Source organism: Homo sapiens, chromosome 12 (assembly GCF_000001405.40).
Source record: "Homo sapiens chromosome 12, GRCh38.p14 Primary Assembly".
In the NCBI taxonomy this organism is placed as follows: Eukaryota; Metazoa; Chordata; class Mammalia; order Primates; family Hominidae; genus Homo; species Homo sapiens.
The window spans coordinates 98,735,673-98,750,832 of record NC_000012.12 but is presented as its reverse complement, the minus strand read 5'-3'; the positions used below and the strand labels follow the sequence as shown (position 1 = coordinate 98,750,832).

General features: G+C 44.9%; 1 protein-coding gene across 73 annotated transcripts in view; it reads left to right on the top strand.

The window, feature by feature from the left end:
- Positions 1-15,160, top strand: part of ANKS1B (ankyrin repeat and sterile alpha motif domain containing 1B) — a 1,250,151-nt gene that overhangs the window by 1,234,104 nt on the left and 887 nt on the right. For 37 of the 73 annotated variants that reach the window (XM_005269029.6, XM_017019652.3, XM_006719512.5 and 34 more), the window contains one exon: positions 4,984-6,859. The exons of 11 other annotated variants lie outside the window; for them this stretch is intronic. In XM_005269029.6, the coding sequence (XP_005269086.1) occupies positions 4,984-5,094 (111 nt within the window). In that variant the 3' untranslated portion in view covers positions 5,095-6,859. Of the gene's footprint in view, positions 1-84; positions 3,190-4,967; positions 6,860-15,160 lie in introns of those variants that run through there. 25 more of the 73 variants (XM_006719513.5, XM_006719505.5, NM_001352185.1 and 22 more) reach the window with 3 other exon arrangements.

Here is a 15,160-nt window from a genome sequence, read left to right as displayed (position 1 = left end):
GGCATGGTGCCTGTTCAGAAGGTGCAGCCCCTCCTTCTCAGCATCTGCCTTCCTCCAGGAATTTCTTCCCCTTCCCTCCCACAGGCTCTGCAGACATCCTGTCCCAACAGGCTTGCATGACTTCAAAGCGGCCTCCTCTGGTAGTAGCAATATTCAAAAGCTGGAAGATTCCCAACCAGCCTCCCATCTGGTTTCTGCCCCGGCTGCCGTATTGCATCCTAGAAACCCTGGGACTCCCCCAGAATGCATTGCTCTCACGCCCCCGAATCCTTCCATCTGGAACTGTCTCTCCTCCTTCTCACCAGCCCCCACCTCCACTGTCATGGGGAACAGCAGCAGGCATTTTTAACATTTGCAGGGAGGCACCTCCCTTTGTGAACATGCAGTTCTTGTTTTCAGTCTTCTTTTGGGGGCCTACCCCTGTCACCCTTCTTGGCACCATCAACATCCACAGGATTGACCCCTCCAGCATCTGGTCTCACAGTTCCCTGACAGTTTACTTTCGGGATCTTTCCCTCCAGCCCCGGCCATTCGCTCCTGTGTCCATCACTCATTACCAGCCATCCCCAGGAGCTGTATCTCCTCTGAAGTCTTTCTTCCGATGCCACGCTCTGAGCCCCTGGTCCTCCCATTCAGCACTGACCCAACCCAACACACTGGCTCCCAGTTCTGTATCTCCAGCCCTGGGCACCCCCCAATTCCAGACTCACGTGGCCAGCTTCTTTCACATTTCCACCTTGATGCTTCACAGACATCTGAAACTTAGCATGTCCAGGACACAATTCCTGATTTTCCCCTCAAAGCTCTTCTCTCACCAACTTCCCCACCCCACAGCCACTCACCATGCAACTCAAGCCCAAAGTCTACAAGTCAGCCTGGATCCCTGTCTTCCCCTTACCTCTGTATCCAGCCCATGAGCAAATCCCATCCACCCTACCCCTAAAATATATCTCAATCCTGTCCACTCTTCCCCACTTCCTCCATCTCTCTTCCAGTCGGGGCCACTGCCACCTCGCCCCAGGCCTATGCAGTATAGCTCCTTGAGACTCCCCTCCCCACACAGCAGAGATCAGTCATGGCACCCTCTGCCCCAAGTACCCAGAATGCAGTTTCCCACCACAGTCCTCTGTGATGCTCAGCTCTTCCCATTCCTTGACTATGTAATGCTCACTCCTACCTGAGGCCTTTATGCCACCTGCTCCCCACACCTGGAATATCCTCCCCCGGTTTCTGCATGGCTGACTTCATCTTGTCATTCAGGTCTCGGCTACTTGAAGAGGCGGATGTCCTAACCACCCAATCTGACATAGATACCCAGTCACCTTCAAGCATGTCATCTGCTTTTAATTCTGTGTAGCATTTATTAATTGAGGGTTTTTTACTGATGGCTTATTGTCTATCTTCCTCCACAAAAATCTAAGTTTTGGGCCGGGCACGGTGGCTCACGCCTGTAATCCCAGCACTTTGGGAGTCCGAAGCGGGCAGATCACGAGGTCAGGAGATCGAGATTCTCCTGGCTAACACGGTGAAACCCCGTCTCTACTAAAAATACAAAAAAAAAAAAAAGTTAGCTGGGCGTGGTGGTGGGTGCCTGTAGTCCCAGCTACTAGGGAGGCTGAGGCAGGAGAATGGCTTGCACCCGGGAGGCGGAGCTTGCAGCGAGCAGAGATTGAGCCACTGCACTCCAGCCTGGGCGACAGAGCAGGACTCCGTCTCAAAAAAAAAAATGTAAGTTTCATGCACACAGGGACCCCACCTGTGTTGTCACCACCGGAACCAGGCCCATAGCAGGTGTTCAGTGAATATCTGTGGATGACAAAATGAGGGCCTGTGGATGGATTTCACAAGCATATCTTTGAGATTGATTAGGCTGCTAAGTGTCCAGGAATTTGCAGAATGTTTTAGAGATTATCTCTTAGACTATTGTATTCATTCTCATGTGGGCTGAATAAATCTGTTCACAGCAGGTGCCTCTATCTGACCTTACCCTGGTCCCCACAGGCTTCTTCCAGAAGAGCACAAAGGGTTGGGTGGCATAAGAGCTCATAGAATATTCATCCAGATGCCTTCAAGGGAAATAGGAAAATATACAGTGAATAATACTGATGTTATTTATGTGCTTCAAGATCAGTCCCCCTCGACAGGCATTAGTATTCTAGTTCCTTCAGCCCCAGGCATTTCTTGGTAAGAAATATTCAGTGATCCCTAAGAACACGTGAGGTCCTCCCCACAGCTTTATGGAGATACAGTCAAGGCACGGTAGAAGGCAGCTGCAAAGCTCATGGTGCCAGAGAAATGGGAGAGGCCTTCCCACAACCTCAGGCTCTGAGAAGAGCAGGCAGCTAGGACAGGGCAGGCAGACCTGGAAACACCAAAGGAAGAGGCAGCCATGGTGTAGATCCACCTGAGGGCCGTTCCTGAGAGCGGACAGCCCGGCCCCGCCCCAGGAGTGTCCCGTTGTATTTGTACGCACAGGGACGAAACCATTTTAGGATTTGTCTCAAGGCTTAGCCTGACTGGGTCCCTGCTCACCTCCTCACCCTTAGCTGTCTGCCTTCCCGCTCCCCACCCTGCAAACTGACCCCAACCCCTCAACGACCATTTTCCCTTACCTCTGGGACTGTTTTTTATTGCTATGTGATATTTTGACACATGTATACAATATGTAATGATCATATCAGTAATTGAGATATCCATCTCCTCAAATATTTTTCTTTTGTATTGAGAAATTACAATTCTTCTAGTTATTTTGAAATATACAATAAATTGTTGTTAACTACAGTCACCCTACTGTGCTATCAAATACTAGAACTTACTCCTTCTATTTAACCATATTTTTGTACCTATTAACCAATCTCTCTTCATCCCTACTCTCCCTTCTTCACTTTCCAGCCTCTGGTAACCACCATTCTACTCAATCTCCATGAGATCCACTTTTTATAGCCTCCACATATGAGAACATACAATATTTGTCTTTCTGTGTCTGGCTTATTTCACTCAACATAATGACCTTCAGTTCATTCATGTTGCTGCAAATGACAGGATCTCATTCTTTTTATGGCTGAATAGTATTCCGTTGTGTATATATACCACATTTTCTTTACCCATTCGTCCATTGATGGACACTTAGTTTGATTCCATGTCTTGGCTGCTGTGAATAATTCTGCAATAAACATGGGAGTGCAGATATCTCTTTGATATACTGATTTCTTTTCTTTTGTATATATACGCAGTAGTGGGGTTGCTGGAACATATGGTAGCTCAATTTTTAGTTTTTTGAGGACCCTCCATGCTATTCTCCATAGTGCCTTTCCTAATTTAGATTCCTACCAACAGTGTAGAAGTGTTTCCCTTTCTCTGTAGCCTCATCAGCATCCATTAGTTTTTGTCTTTTTGATACTAGCCATTCAATAGTAGCGGGGGTGAGATCGTATCACATTGTGATTGTCATTTGCATGTCCCTGATGATTAGTGATGTTGAGCATTTTTACCTATACCTGTTGGCCGTTTGTATGTCGTCTTTTTAGAAATGCCTGTTCAGTTCTATTGCCTGTTACTTAATCAGATTGAGTTGGTTTTGTTTTTGTTTTTGTTTTTTATTTTTGTTTTTTGCTATTGAGTTATTTGAGTCCCTTATTTATTCTGGTTGTTAATCCCTTGTCAGATGGATACTTTGCAAATATTTTCTCCCATTCTGTAGGTTGTCTTTTCGCTTTGTTGATTGTTTCCTTCGCTGTGCAGAAGCTTTTTCACTTGATGTAATTCCATTTGTCTCTTTCTGCTTTCGTTGCCTGTGCTTTTGAGATTTTACCCAAAAAATCTTTATCCAGACCAATGTCCTGTAGTGTTTCCCCAATGTTTTCTTCCAGTTCTTTCATCGTCTCAGGTCTTCCCTCTAAGTCTTTAATCCATTTTGAGTTGATTTCTGTATATAGTGGAAGATGAGGCTGTGTTTCATTCTGTTGTATAGATTATTCTGGGACTGCTGCATGTGCTGTTTCATCTACTTCAAATGCCCCCTCCTCCTGTCTTCAGGCAAATACTTGCTGGTCCTTCGGCTGTCCATTTAAATATTACCTCATTCTTTTGATACCATTTATTCAACAAGTATTTATTGTGTGCCTATTATTTACGGGGTTGCCAGGAGCTTTTCTGCGTTTTGGAGAAAATGGCAGTGATGAAAACAGACAAAATCCTGCCTCCATGAGCATACGTGGCAGTGGAGGATGAACAAATAAATATGTGATGACGCATAGCGGCAATAAGTATTGTCAGGAATAAGGCAGAAGAGGAGAGCAGAAAAGTTGGGGTGCTTTTTGTAGGAGTAAACAGGAAAGGCTTCTAGGAATACAGGTGCCAGTGGAAGTGGCATTTGAGCAGAGACCTGAATGGCATTAGAGCATGAGGCATGCAGGTGTCTGGAGAAGGGAACTCGGGCAGAGCAGATGATGAGCGCAGAGGCCCTGGGCGTGGGCTTGGCGGGCAGGAAGAGCAAGGAAGCTGTGTGGCTGCAGCAGAAAAATCAGGTGGGCAGGGGTACTGGAGGTCACGGTGAGGAGTTCGGGTTTTGTTCTGACTGACTGTGATGGAAACCACTGGAGAGTGAGAGCCGGGGAGTGGCATGCCTGATTCACCTCCTCCAGGAAGCCCCCCTGGCTCCCAAGGTGTGTGTGCCCACATGGTGCCCTCTCTTCCCCTCGTATCTCACCTCTCAGCACTGAAATCCGCCTCTGTCTGCTCCCCGTCTGTGTGCTCACAAGGGCAAGGGCTGTGCCTTATTCACCGTCACCCTCAGGGTGCCCTGCAGAGAGTCGGTATGCGGTAAATGTGTGTCCAAAGAGCGAGCCCGCGAGCCGCCTAGACCAGCATCGCCGCCCCGCGCCTGGGGCGAGGGGCCTCGCGTGGGTTCGCCAGCGGCGTCCGCGTGCATGCGCGCACCCGCGCGGCGACCGTATAACAGGCATCAGCCTTTCTGTTTTAAAGCAGATCGACCCATCTGAGCAAAAGACTCTGGCCAATCTACCGTGGATTGTGGAGCCGGGCCAAGAAGCCAAGAGGGGCATTAATACCAAGTATGAAACCACGATTTTCTGATACTCGCCGTCCTCCTGTCCTCGCGGTGCCTTGCTCGCCAAGCGGTCCCGGAGCAGGCTTTCCTTCGCGCCTCCGCGTCCACCCAGCCCAGGAGGAAGACTGCTCTGAGCGTGCGGCCTTGTTACGGGCGAAAGGCCACTGGCCATTCCTGGGGAAGTTCTTTCTGCACCAGTGATGGAAAACGCAAGACTTTCCAGTCGCAACCCCTGAGAGGCGTGAGTTGAGATGGGTTTTCCCTGATGCTCCCGACTCCCCTCCCCACCACCTCCCAAGGTATTTCTGATGACTCCGCCCCAGTACTTGCTTTGCTTCATTTGGGGAAAATAATACCTTTTCTTTAAAAAAAAAAAAAAAAAAAAAAAAGTAAAGGGGATCTCTAATACTGCCTAAAAGTATGCTTTCACTGTCAGCAGTTTTAAAGGTGAAATCAGAGCAGCACTACCCCTCCCACCTCCAAAGCATCTGTAAAATCATTCTATCATTGAGTATCGTTTAATGCAAAAGGACAAAAACAACTCCCGTGATATGATTGCCAGGAGATTCTGTTTCCCCATTTCTATATTTGTGGATTTTATATGTAATCACCTATGTCAGAGAAAGAAAACCTTTCAACCAAATGATTGGTTCAAAAGGAAAGAATGATTCAAAGCAGAGGAATTTATTATGCACAGCAAAATGTGTCTTGTATTAAATATTTTTATTAAAAGAATGTTTCATTAATGCATTGATAAGAAAACTAGGTTAGTTGCGAGGGATGTTTCTGGTTTCATTTCAAATAATTAAATTTCTACTGCTACTACCAAGAGGACTGGCTCAGTGGTGGCAAAATACTGGTGATGCTCCCTAGAGCAGGAGGCCCGGAAGTGCTGACGCAGCCATCAGCCTGCCAAGATTGTTTTTTAATCTTCACAGTGTTTTAAAGAACATGTTAAAAAAAAAAAAATCTAGTGCTCCTGCTGTCAAGATTTCTGTCATGGAAACCTTGTTTGAGAAAGGTGTTAATAAAATTCTATTGCAAAAATTTCTTTTTCTAGAAAAAATAAATACAAAAAAAAAAAAGAAGAAATTCCAAAGTAATAAAACTTTTCTTGAGACAAACAAAAAAAAAGTTTGCTTACTATTTGATTAAATAAAATTTACTTACATTTCTTTAAGGTATTTTAATTTTTTAATGTCTCTGTGGAGTATTTGTATGATACCATAATGTATATTTATGTAGAATCAAATTATATAAACAGTACCAATATCATTATAGAAAAAAATAACATTTTAATGTATATTGTTCTAACAATCATATTGTGAATCATTTTGAAGTTCATTATAGCGATATTGATAAATTGTGGAATTGTCTTAATGTTTTTTTATTAACTGACATTATTTTAAACCTAACTGAGATGATCAGTTACATTCATCAGTTGGTGAGTTTTGAAGAATAACTACATTTTATTTCAAACTAACAAATGTATACGGTTTTAGTTCAGTGTTGAAGAATTTTAATACAATATTAAATTACTTGAACTGAACAGTTCCTTGTATATATTTTGCCTATTCACTGTTGATATGTATGTAGCAAAATGAGAGTTAAATAACACTAAAATATGGTACCAGGAGGCAATTGTATAGGAGCAAAGTTAATAGGAGCTTTGCTGAAACAGAAGCATATGTGTAAATAAGCTTGGGCTTCCAGTTATAAATTTTGTAATTTTTGTCATTATTTATATCCTATAAAAAAAGCACACAAAAATAAAACAGAAGTTGTACAGCAGTGGTGCTTGGCATCGTTCTGTGAGCACCTTCCCCACTCCCATTTAGGAGCAGAACCAAAGGCCCAGCCTTCTCAGCATCTACAGCTAAAGGGACTTTTTTAATTGGCAAAATTGTTGAGAAAAGTTGCACAGTTCCAAGTTCAACCAGTCTGAGAAAGATACACAGGCCTCTGAAACTTTAATTTTAACCTAAAGCCCCCACTGCCTTCTTTTAAATATTAAAGCAGACTGTAAGGAGGAATTGTCAAAACAGGCATCTCTAAAAGAGAAAGGACCACCAAACTGGATCACTTTTGTAGCACAGCCTCGATGGTATGTTTGGAAAAACATTATCTACATGGTCATCAGTCCTTTCATTTTTTTCTATACACACAGCAGCCCCATAGACCAGAGCAGGGACGGGAAAAGGAAGGGCTAGGCCTGCAGGGGGCAGATGAGAGGCGGCCCATGCATTGACGAAGAGATTTGCAGCTGATTTTCTTCAAGGGGAAAATTGATACATTGATAACTTCAATAACCATGGGCAGGGGGGGTCATTGAATGCTAACATCATTACTCAAAAAAGGACTTGAATTCAATTACTCCATTTAATTGTTTCTTATTAAATTGTATTCTATGATAAATCTGAGTTAACGAACCCTATGAAAATTATCCCTAGTTAGTTCATTAATAAGTCATGGAAATGATTTTTCTCAAGACACACAAGATTTTTCTCAAGTTGGAATACTTGGGAATATTGCTGGTTCAATGTTTGTTTGGATAAGATGGAGCAGAAGACAGGCTTGGATAAAGGAACACGTGGCCAAATCCTCAAAAATCAATAAAAATTCACACCTGGATTCAAGGTAGCATCACTCCTAATTACTTCTGAAAAGAAATGAAAATTTGATAAGTGATCTAGCCTCAAGAGAATTAGAATATAATGGCCATGTTCAGGAAATCCGTAGGAAGAAGACTTTTTTTAAAAAAAATAACTTTCTAAGTTCTCTTTTTAGATAGGCTAGTCGATCTGAAGGTTCGAAACACATTTTTTGAAATAAAGTTGGGTAACTAACTAGCCAACACAGCCAGCACAGAGTCTACATGCAGCAAGGCCCACTGGCCCACCCCATATTCCAGTCCTAGCTCCCCAACAGCCAGCCAGCCAGCCCCACATTTACTGCCTCTAGGCAAATGGACACAAGCATCTGCCTGCCCCAGCAACAGAGTCCTGCTTCCCACAGAAACCGGTTCCAAAGCCGGCAGAGACGGCGCTTTGAACTTGCTCAGGCCTTTTGACCATCACCATGCTGCATATTGTGACTCTGTTAGTAGCTAGGAGCTGGAACTTAATTTTGTGGTCGAAATAACCCTGAGACCTTGGTGCCAACCAGGGAAATGCCAACTCCACTTAACTGTTTCTGTCTTCCGCTCAAGTCGGTCTACTTATTGAGAACTCACTCTGTGCTTAGCGTGGCATCACTTTCCTTAGAGTTGCTTCTGCAAAGATGGTCATTCTGCAGCCAACATATTGCACTCAGTGTGCAACTCATCAAAAAGCATAGCTACAAATTATTATTAAAACAGTTTTTGTTTTTCTCTCCAAAACCTCAGAGACCTATGTTTGTTTGGGGAAAAAAAAAAAAAAAGCTGCATGGGCATTTAACTTTCCAAGAGTAGTTAACGACCAGTGCTGTGAAGACTTACACATCAGGCTGAAATAAGACATCCTTCATTTGTCATCTCCAATGGGGTCACCCCGGCGGAAGGTGGCGACTGCAGCCGCGGAGGTTTAATCAGGGCTCCTAACTTGGTTCAGACAGTGGAGGAGCGCGGGTATCAGATGACAGACTTCACGAGTACAGATGAGCTAATATGCATGTTCCAAGCCCTGCTATTTAAGACATCTTGAAGTTCTGTCTCATCACCACAGTAAGAGCAAGAGATGGAGTCAGATTTTACAACCAAAGTCAGCTCACAATGTGGTAATAAAAACCATTCAAAGCAATTCATATTCAATACCCAATTTAATTGTCCTCTGGCTGTCTCAGGGCCTCAATCAAGCATCCCAACAGCTGCTCCCCAGGGAGCCTGCCTGCCTGCAGCCCTCCCTCTCAAGTGGCAGTAAGACACGTGGGAAGTCAAAAGGCCCCCAAGTAAGAGGCAGCATCAGCTGTTTTCTGACATTTGAGAGGCGGATTTCTCTCTGATTCTCAAAAGTGCATGCTGAGTTGTCTGAGAGGAAAAAAACAATGCCAGTGTGCTGTGTTGAGTCAGGGGAGACTGAGAAAGAAGAAAGGTACAAGTGGATTCTGAAATCCCATTTTAGCGGGCCGTTTCTGGGGTGTGGGTTTGAGCAGGTTGCAAACTCACATGCCTTCCAAGCCATACAGGTGACATGAGTGAGGGGGATGGGGCTGTGCCTCATCTCAGGGGCAACCACTGCTGAGTTCCAGCTGATTGTTGCCAGGCAGAAAGGAAGACCCTGGGTCCACAGATTTTCTAAGAAATCTGGATTTTCACGCAAAATCGTTGGGTTTTGAAGTGTTGGCAGCAAACCCAGTTTTAAAAAATAAGTGTGAGCCACACAGAACTCATCTGTGGGCTGGGTGTGGTCTATGCATCACTTGTTTGTGAACTTGTTCAGTAGCTTTATGACTTTCTGAGATTCCACAAAGCTTCAGCAACCTTACAGCTAGATGCCCGGTTACTCATCAGGAGAAAGAAAGAGTGTTTGTAGCTGGGGTGAGTGGGTGGAGGAGGCAGAGATTCAGGGGTCGGTGACATTTGTTGAATTGCTGTTATTCACCAGGTTTGTTTTGGGAAGTATCAGTTAGGAATTGAACTAAAGAACTAGTAGCAAAGACCAGCAATAACAATGTCTTAAACGAGGCAGGGGTTGAATTTTCCCTCATGTAACATGAACTTCAGAGATAGGCAGTACAGAGCTGGAATTGTAGCTTTATGATATCATTGAAATCTCAAGATCCTTCTATATTTCTACTCTGCCATCCTTTGGAAGTGGCTTTTAGCCTCAAGATTGCCTCATTGTCACAAAATGGCTGCTGGAGCATCCTCCAGCACACACATATTCCAGGCATTAGAAAAGATGGTAAGGACCATAGGATGGAAGCATTGTCCAGCTGAATAAGGCAGACTTTTAAGAGCTTTCCTGGAAGCTCCACCCCACAACTTCTGCATACAGCTTATTGGCCACCCCTATGTAGGAGGATGGAAAATGTGGCTGCAATTGTTAGTTTTAGCTGAGCACACTGCAGCCCCCAACAATGCAGGGGTTGTTAGTGAGGAAAAGGGGGAGATTGGATATTGCGGTGGTCACTGGCAGTGTCTACTACATTGGGAATCATCACAGTAATAGCTAAAAGGCAAACACAAGCACACACATGTGAGACACTTGAACAGAGAAAGCAGTGCCTGTAAGAGGGATTGGTGATCATCCTGACAGAGCTGCTCTATAAATTAGCCACCAAACCTGAGCAGGAAAGATCCCCACAGCTGGGTTAATATGCACACCAAACATCTGTGCTGTCCAGCAAGCTCCTGAGAATGTTATGGGCAGAGCAGGCACAAAGGGGCATGCTGCATTGGCAGACATCGCAGCATCATGGGCTGTGCTAAAGGAGGAGACTGGCAATGAGTTGGTTGGGCATCAAGGGTGAGAGTAGAGGGCGCTGGCTCTCAACCTCCACTGCACACTGGAATCACCCGGGGACATTTAAAGCCTCCCTAGGAAGTGAATCCTTGAGGAGATTAACCCATTTGCTGAAGTCACACAGCTGGAAAGTCAGTGTAGCCAGGGTTGAACTTAGATCCACTTGACAGCCAAAGCCACACACATACCACCACACTCCCAAGCTACTGGCCCCAGCAACAAGCCCAGGGTCTTTTCTCCCCTCATTCCCAGTCTTCTTTACCACTTGATGGGTGTATGCGTCGCCCAAAGAGAATCAAGTTCGGGATAGTTCAAAAGAAAGCAGGTGACAGCTTTCCTGCTAAGTAAGCAATGTCTGTCTCCTAAAAGCCAATGGCCATAAGGAGAAGGAGGTGGTAGAGGAGGGTGCCTGGAGCTAGGTGTCTGCCATGGAGCAGAAGCAGCAGGGTCGCAATTTGTGAATCATGGAGATTTGGGCAGTACAGGAATGGGGGTTTGTAACTGGGACGAAAGATAAGTATTATGCTGTTTATTGAGATCTATATCAGATTCTTGACATGTTTTTTCTAAGCCCCACAAAAGCCTTGTACATTAGGTTCCCTATTTGACAAATCAGGAAAGTGAGGCTCTGAGGGGCTGCATCTTTTTTCAAATGAAAGGAAAAGGAGAAGGGGGGAGATGCAATCAAGATGGCAGAAGACAGCACACAGATCCACTAACCAAGGCCTGCCACTAATTTGAAATGAATCCCTTAAGAGTTTCAAAGTAGAAACAGGCTTCCCCAAAGGGAAGGCAACAGTAGCTCTGCTACCTTCCTTGCTCAATACCTGAATCATCTGAGAATTGAGAGCAGGTTGGGCAGTGGCCAGGTGCTGGCAAATCCAACGCATTCCCCCCACCTGTCCCATCCATTGGCTTCTATCAGAATGTTCCTGCTGCTTTTTTCAAAGAGCAATCTCTACAGGCACAGATACAAGTTAAGCAGACTACCAAAAGTAGAAGCTCCTTGGGAGCAGACAGCATCTGATGCCTTCTCCGAGAGCTTAGTAGTGATGCATCTGTCCTGATGCAAGTGAGTAACGAATGAAATGCAGAACTGAAGTGATGCTCTTGGACCCTCTAGCCCAGGGGCTTCAATGAGAAGGTACAGGGAGTGTCACCCAGTGGAGACAGAAGGCCGTGGACCAGAAACCCAGCTCCACCACTTGGCTGTGGGGCCCTGGAAACCTAACCTCTCTGCATCTGTTTGCACACCTATGAAAGAGATAACACCTTGCAGCACTGTTATGATTCAGTTAAATAACGTATGGAAAATGCCCAGCCTGTGGGCTTGGCACATAAAAGGCCCTCAAAAAATAGTAGCTCCCTTCCTTCCTTCTAAAAGACTTGGTGTGTCTCCAGAGGTTAATTGACAGCAAGTAGGGCAATAAGCCCAAGATGAAGGGCTTAGTGAAGGGCTCACTGCTAATTGAAGGTGAATATAAGAACATCTCCAAAACCATCACGTAAGCTATTGGATGACTTTCCCCAGCTAGTGAAACCAAGCCTTATGACCCCTAGGCTGATGTCATCTGCCACTGAACCCAGGAGTATTCTACTTCCAGTTGTGACTGACAGGTGACTTACAAGCCTAAGAGTCTTGGCCTTTCTATCTATAAAGAATAGCAGATTTGGATTCTAGCCCTGGCTTTGTCACCGATTAGCTGCTGGGGTTTAGTTCTTCCTCTATCTAAAAACTGAAGCTGCAGTCTGCAGATCCACTCAACTTCTGTGAAGATAAATGAGAGTTGGGCAGTGCCTCGAGTGGAGCGGCGATAAACATTTGAATGAATGCGAACGTGTGCTCCTCAGAACAGCAGGAGTCTCCACTCACCTGCTCAGTTTTCCAGTTTGATCGGTTGCTCTGAACCCCCAGACCCAAACTCAGGCCTCGACCACCCTCTCTAGTTACATATTCTAGCCCTGGGTGATGGAAATTACAGAGGCAGATTTTTCTATTCATTTCTATGTGATAAGGAGCATTCCCAGTTCTGGGGGCCTGACCTCATAAATGAATTTACAAAGAACACCAGTGACTCATTTTCCTGAATCTTAATTGAAATGAAAATTTCCCAAATTCTGGTTTTCTCACATCATTTGACTCAGGAGCAAGTCATTGTTGATGCCAGAGGACTTCAAAGGCCTGGTCTCTGCTACGTCTCAAATGTGACCCCCTTCTTCTGCCCCTCTCGTGTGAGCATATACAGTAATTCTTCTATAGTTAAACTCATAGCCCAAGAGCAGCAGATTTTCTAATTCAGGCATTTTAATAACTGTATAGTATATCCACGGTCCCAAGGGGAGTGGTTATGAGCAAGGAATGTATTCCAGTGACAATCTTCAAAGACTAAGAATTATTAGAAAATCATTTTCTCCTTCGTTAAAGTTCAGTGAGTAAATTATAATATAAAATGTCTGTGGAATAATAGATGGCCATACTTGCTGACTTAAACACTCCAGGGATATGTTTATTCATTTTATATAATTTGGTAGCAAACCTCTTTTGTCCAAGTAAAGTTTTACTTTCCCCTAATGATGTTTCACAGAAAAAGGCCAAACTAAAACGGCAAGATAAAATGCTGGTGATATGCTACATCTTCATTTGACAGCCTCATGATATCCTTATGGAAAGGAAGAACATAGACTGTGTTATGAACACGTGGGCAAATTCATCCCATGGAACTCAGGAGATGAATTCCAGTCATCCAACAAGTGTTTACTGAGGCCCTCATTGCAATGCTAGGCTCATGTTAGACTCTATACAGTCCTGGCTTTCAAGGAGCTTACGATTTACTGGGGACCTCAATAAGCAAGCAATTCCAAAACAACAAAAGCCATGACAGAGAAAAGAGAATGCTAGGAGAGGGCAGGGCAGCCCTTCAGCTCTTGAGGGTCATCTTAAAGAATTTGTGAAACATAGGGAGTTAGCGGGGAAAAGAAAATCGGTGAGAGGACAGCATAGAGAAAACAGTGTACACAAAGCTACAGAAGAGAACTTGGAGCAGGTCCAGGGTTTAAACAGAAGTGTAAACACAAAGTTTAAACAGAGAAGTTTAATGTGATTCAGATGAGTGCTCTGGAAAGATCATGCAGAAGGGCACAACTGGAGGCAGAGATGGCAGCTGGGGCTGTTGCCAGGCAAAGAGGAGGGAGCTCAAATGGCATTGCAGAATGTCCCCTGAGCGGTCTCTTAGTGCAGGCAATGAGATAAGTGCTTCAGGAGCTTTATCTCATTAAATCCTACAACAATCTGGAGGGAGGAACGGATCCTCATTTTTCAGATAAGACAACTGCTGATACTGTCCTGTTTTCTTATCATCTGTTGTCCCCATGATCTCTCAACAACTCAAATGTATTTACTTATTGCTTCCTCTGCTGCTTAAAACAGTGCTTGGCATGCAGATGCTCAAGGAGTACAGGATAGATAGGTGGGTGAATGAGCAGACTGATCAAGGACTACAGACAAGAAGACGTTAAGGGGCCCATGCCTGCTGCATTCACTGTACTTACCACACTAATTTGCAACTCTTAGTCTCTGCTGGTCCTTTTTAGTCTCCTGGGCTTATCCCTCATCCCACTGATCTCCAGACTGCCCTGGACTCAGTCTTGGGGCCCCCTGTCTTTTCTATCTACACCCACTTCACTGCTGATTTCATCTACTCCTCTGATTTTAAATACCATCAATTCACTGATGACTCTCAGATTTCTACCTCCTGGTGGAGCTTTCCCATGAACTCCAGAGCCTTGCATCCCGCCTACTCAGCATCCCCACCTGGATGTCTCGTTAACGGGCATCTCAAACTTACCGCGTCCGCAAAGCTGCTTTCATTGTCTTCATCTCAGCTGACGGCAACTCTCTTCTTCCAGTTGCTCAGGCTAAAACCTTGCATCATTCTTTTCTTGTCTCTCTCACAACCTTTATCCAATCCATCAGCAAATCCTATTAACTCTTATCTTCAAAATATGTCCAGAATCCAACTTGTCACAAGCTCTGCTGCTGCCACCCTAGTCTGGCCCACCTTCATTTTGTCCGGATGATTACAAAAGCTTCTCACTGGTTCCCCTTTCAGTTGATTCCCACTGCCTGGGTGATTCGTTAAAGCTTAAATCAGACCACTGCTCAAAACTCCTACACTGGCTCCCAGAGTCAAAAGTGAAGTCCTTACTGTGGCCTAAGAGGCAGCCTCCGGTGCTACCCCAATTCCTCTCTGCCTCTCCTGTTAGACTCCTCACACTCACCCTTCTCCAGCCACATGGGCCGTCTGGCTGCTCCCAGAATACACCAACCATCCCACTGGAGTCTGCACCTGCTGTATCCTTCAGAATGGTTTCCCGACAGATGCATAGCTCACTTCCTCACATCTTTCAGGTCTGTACAAGTGTCAGCTTCTGAAAGAGCCAGTCCATCTAAAACCGTAACCCCTTCCCCTCCGCTTGTACATACCACCAAATTCACTATAGATTTTACTTATTTACTTTTTCTGCCTCTCCCTGGCCCTTAACTGCAGTAGAGCAAGACTTTTGTTTTGCTCACTCCTGTGTTCCCAATACCTACCACAATGCCAGGCACATGGTACATCTCAATATTTATTAAACAAATGCATGAACA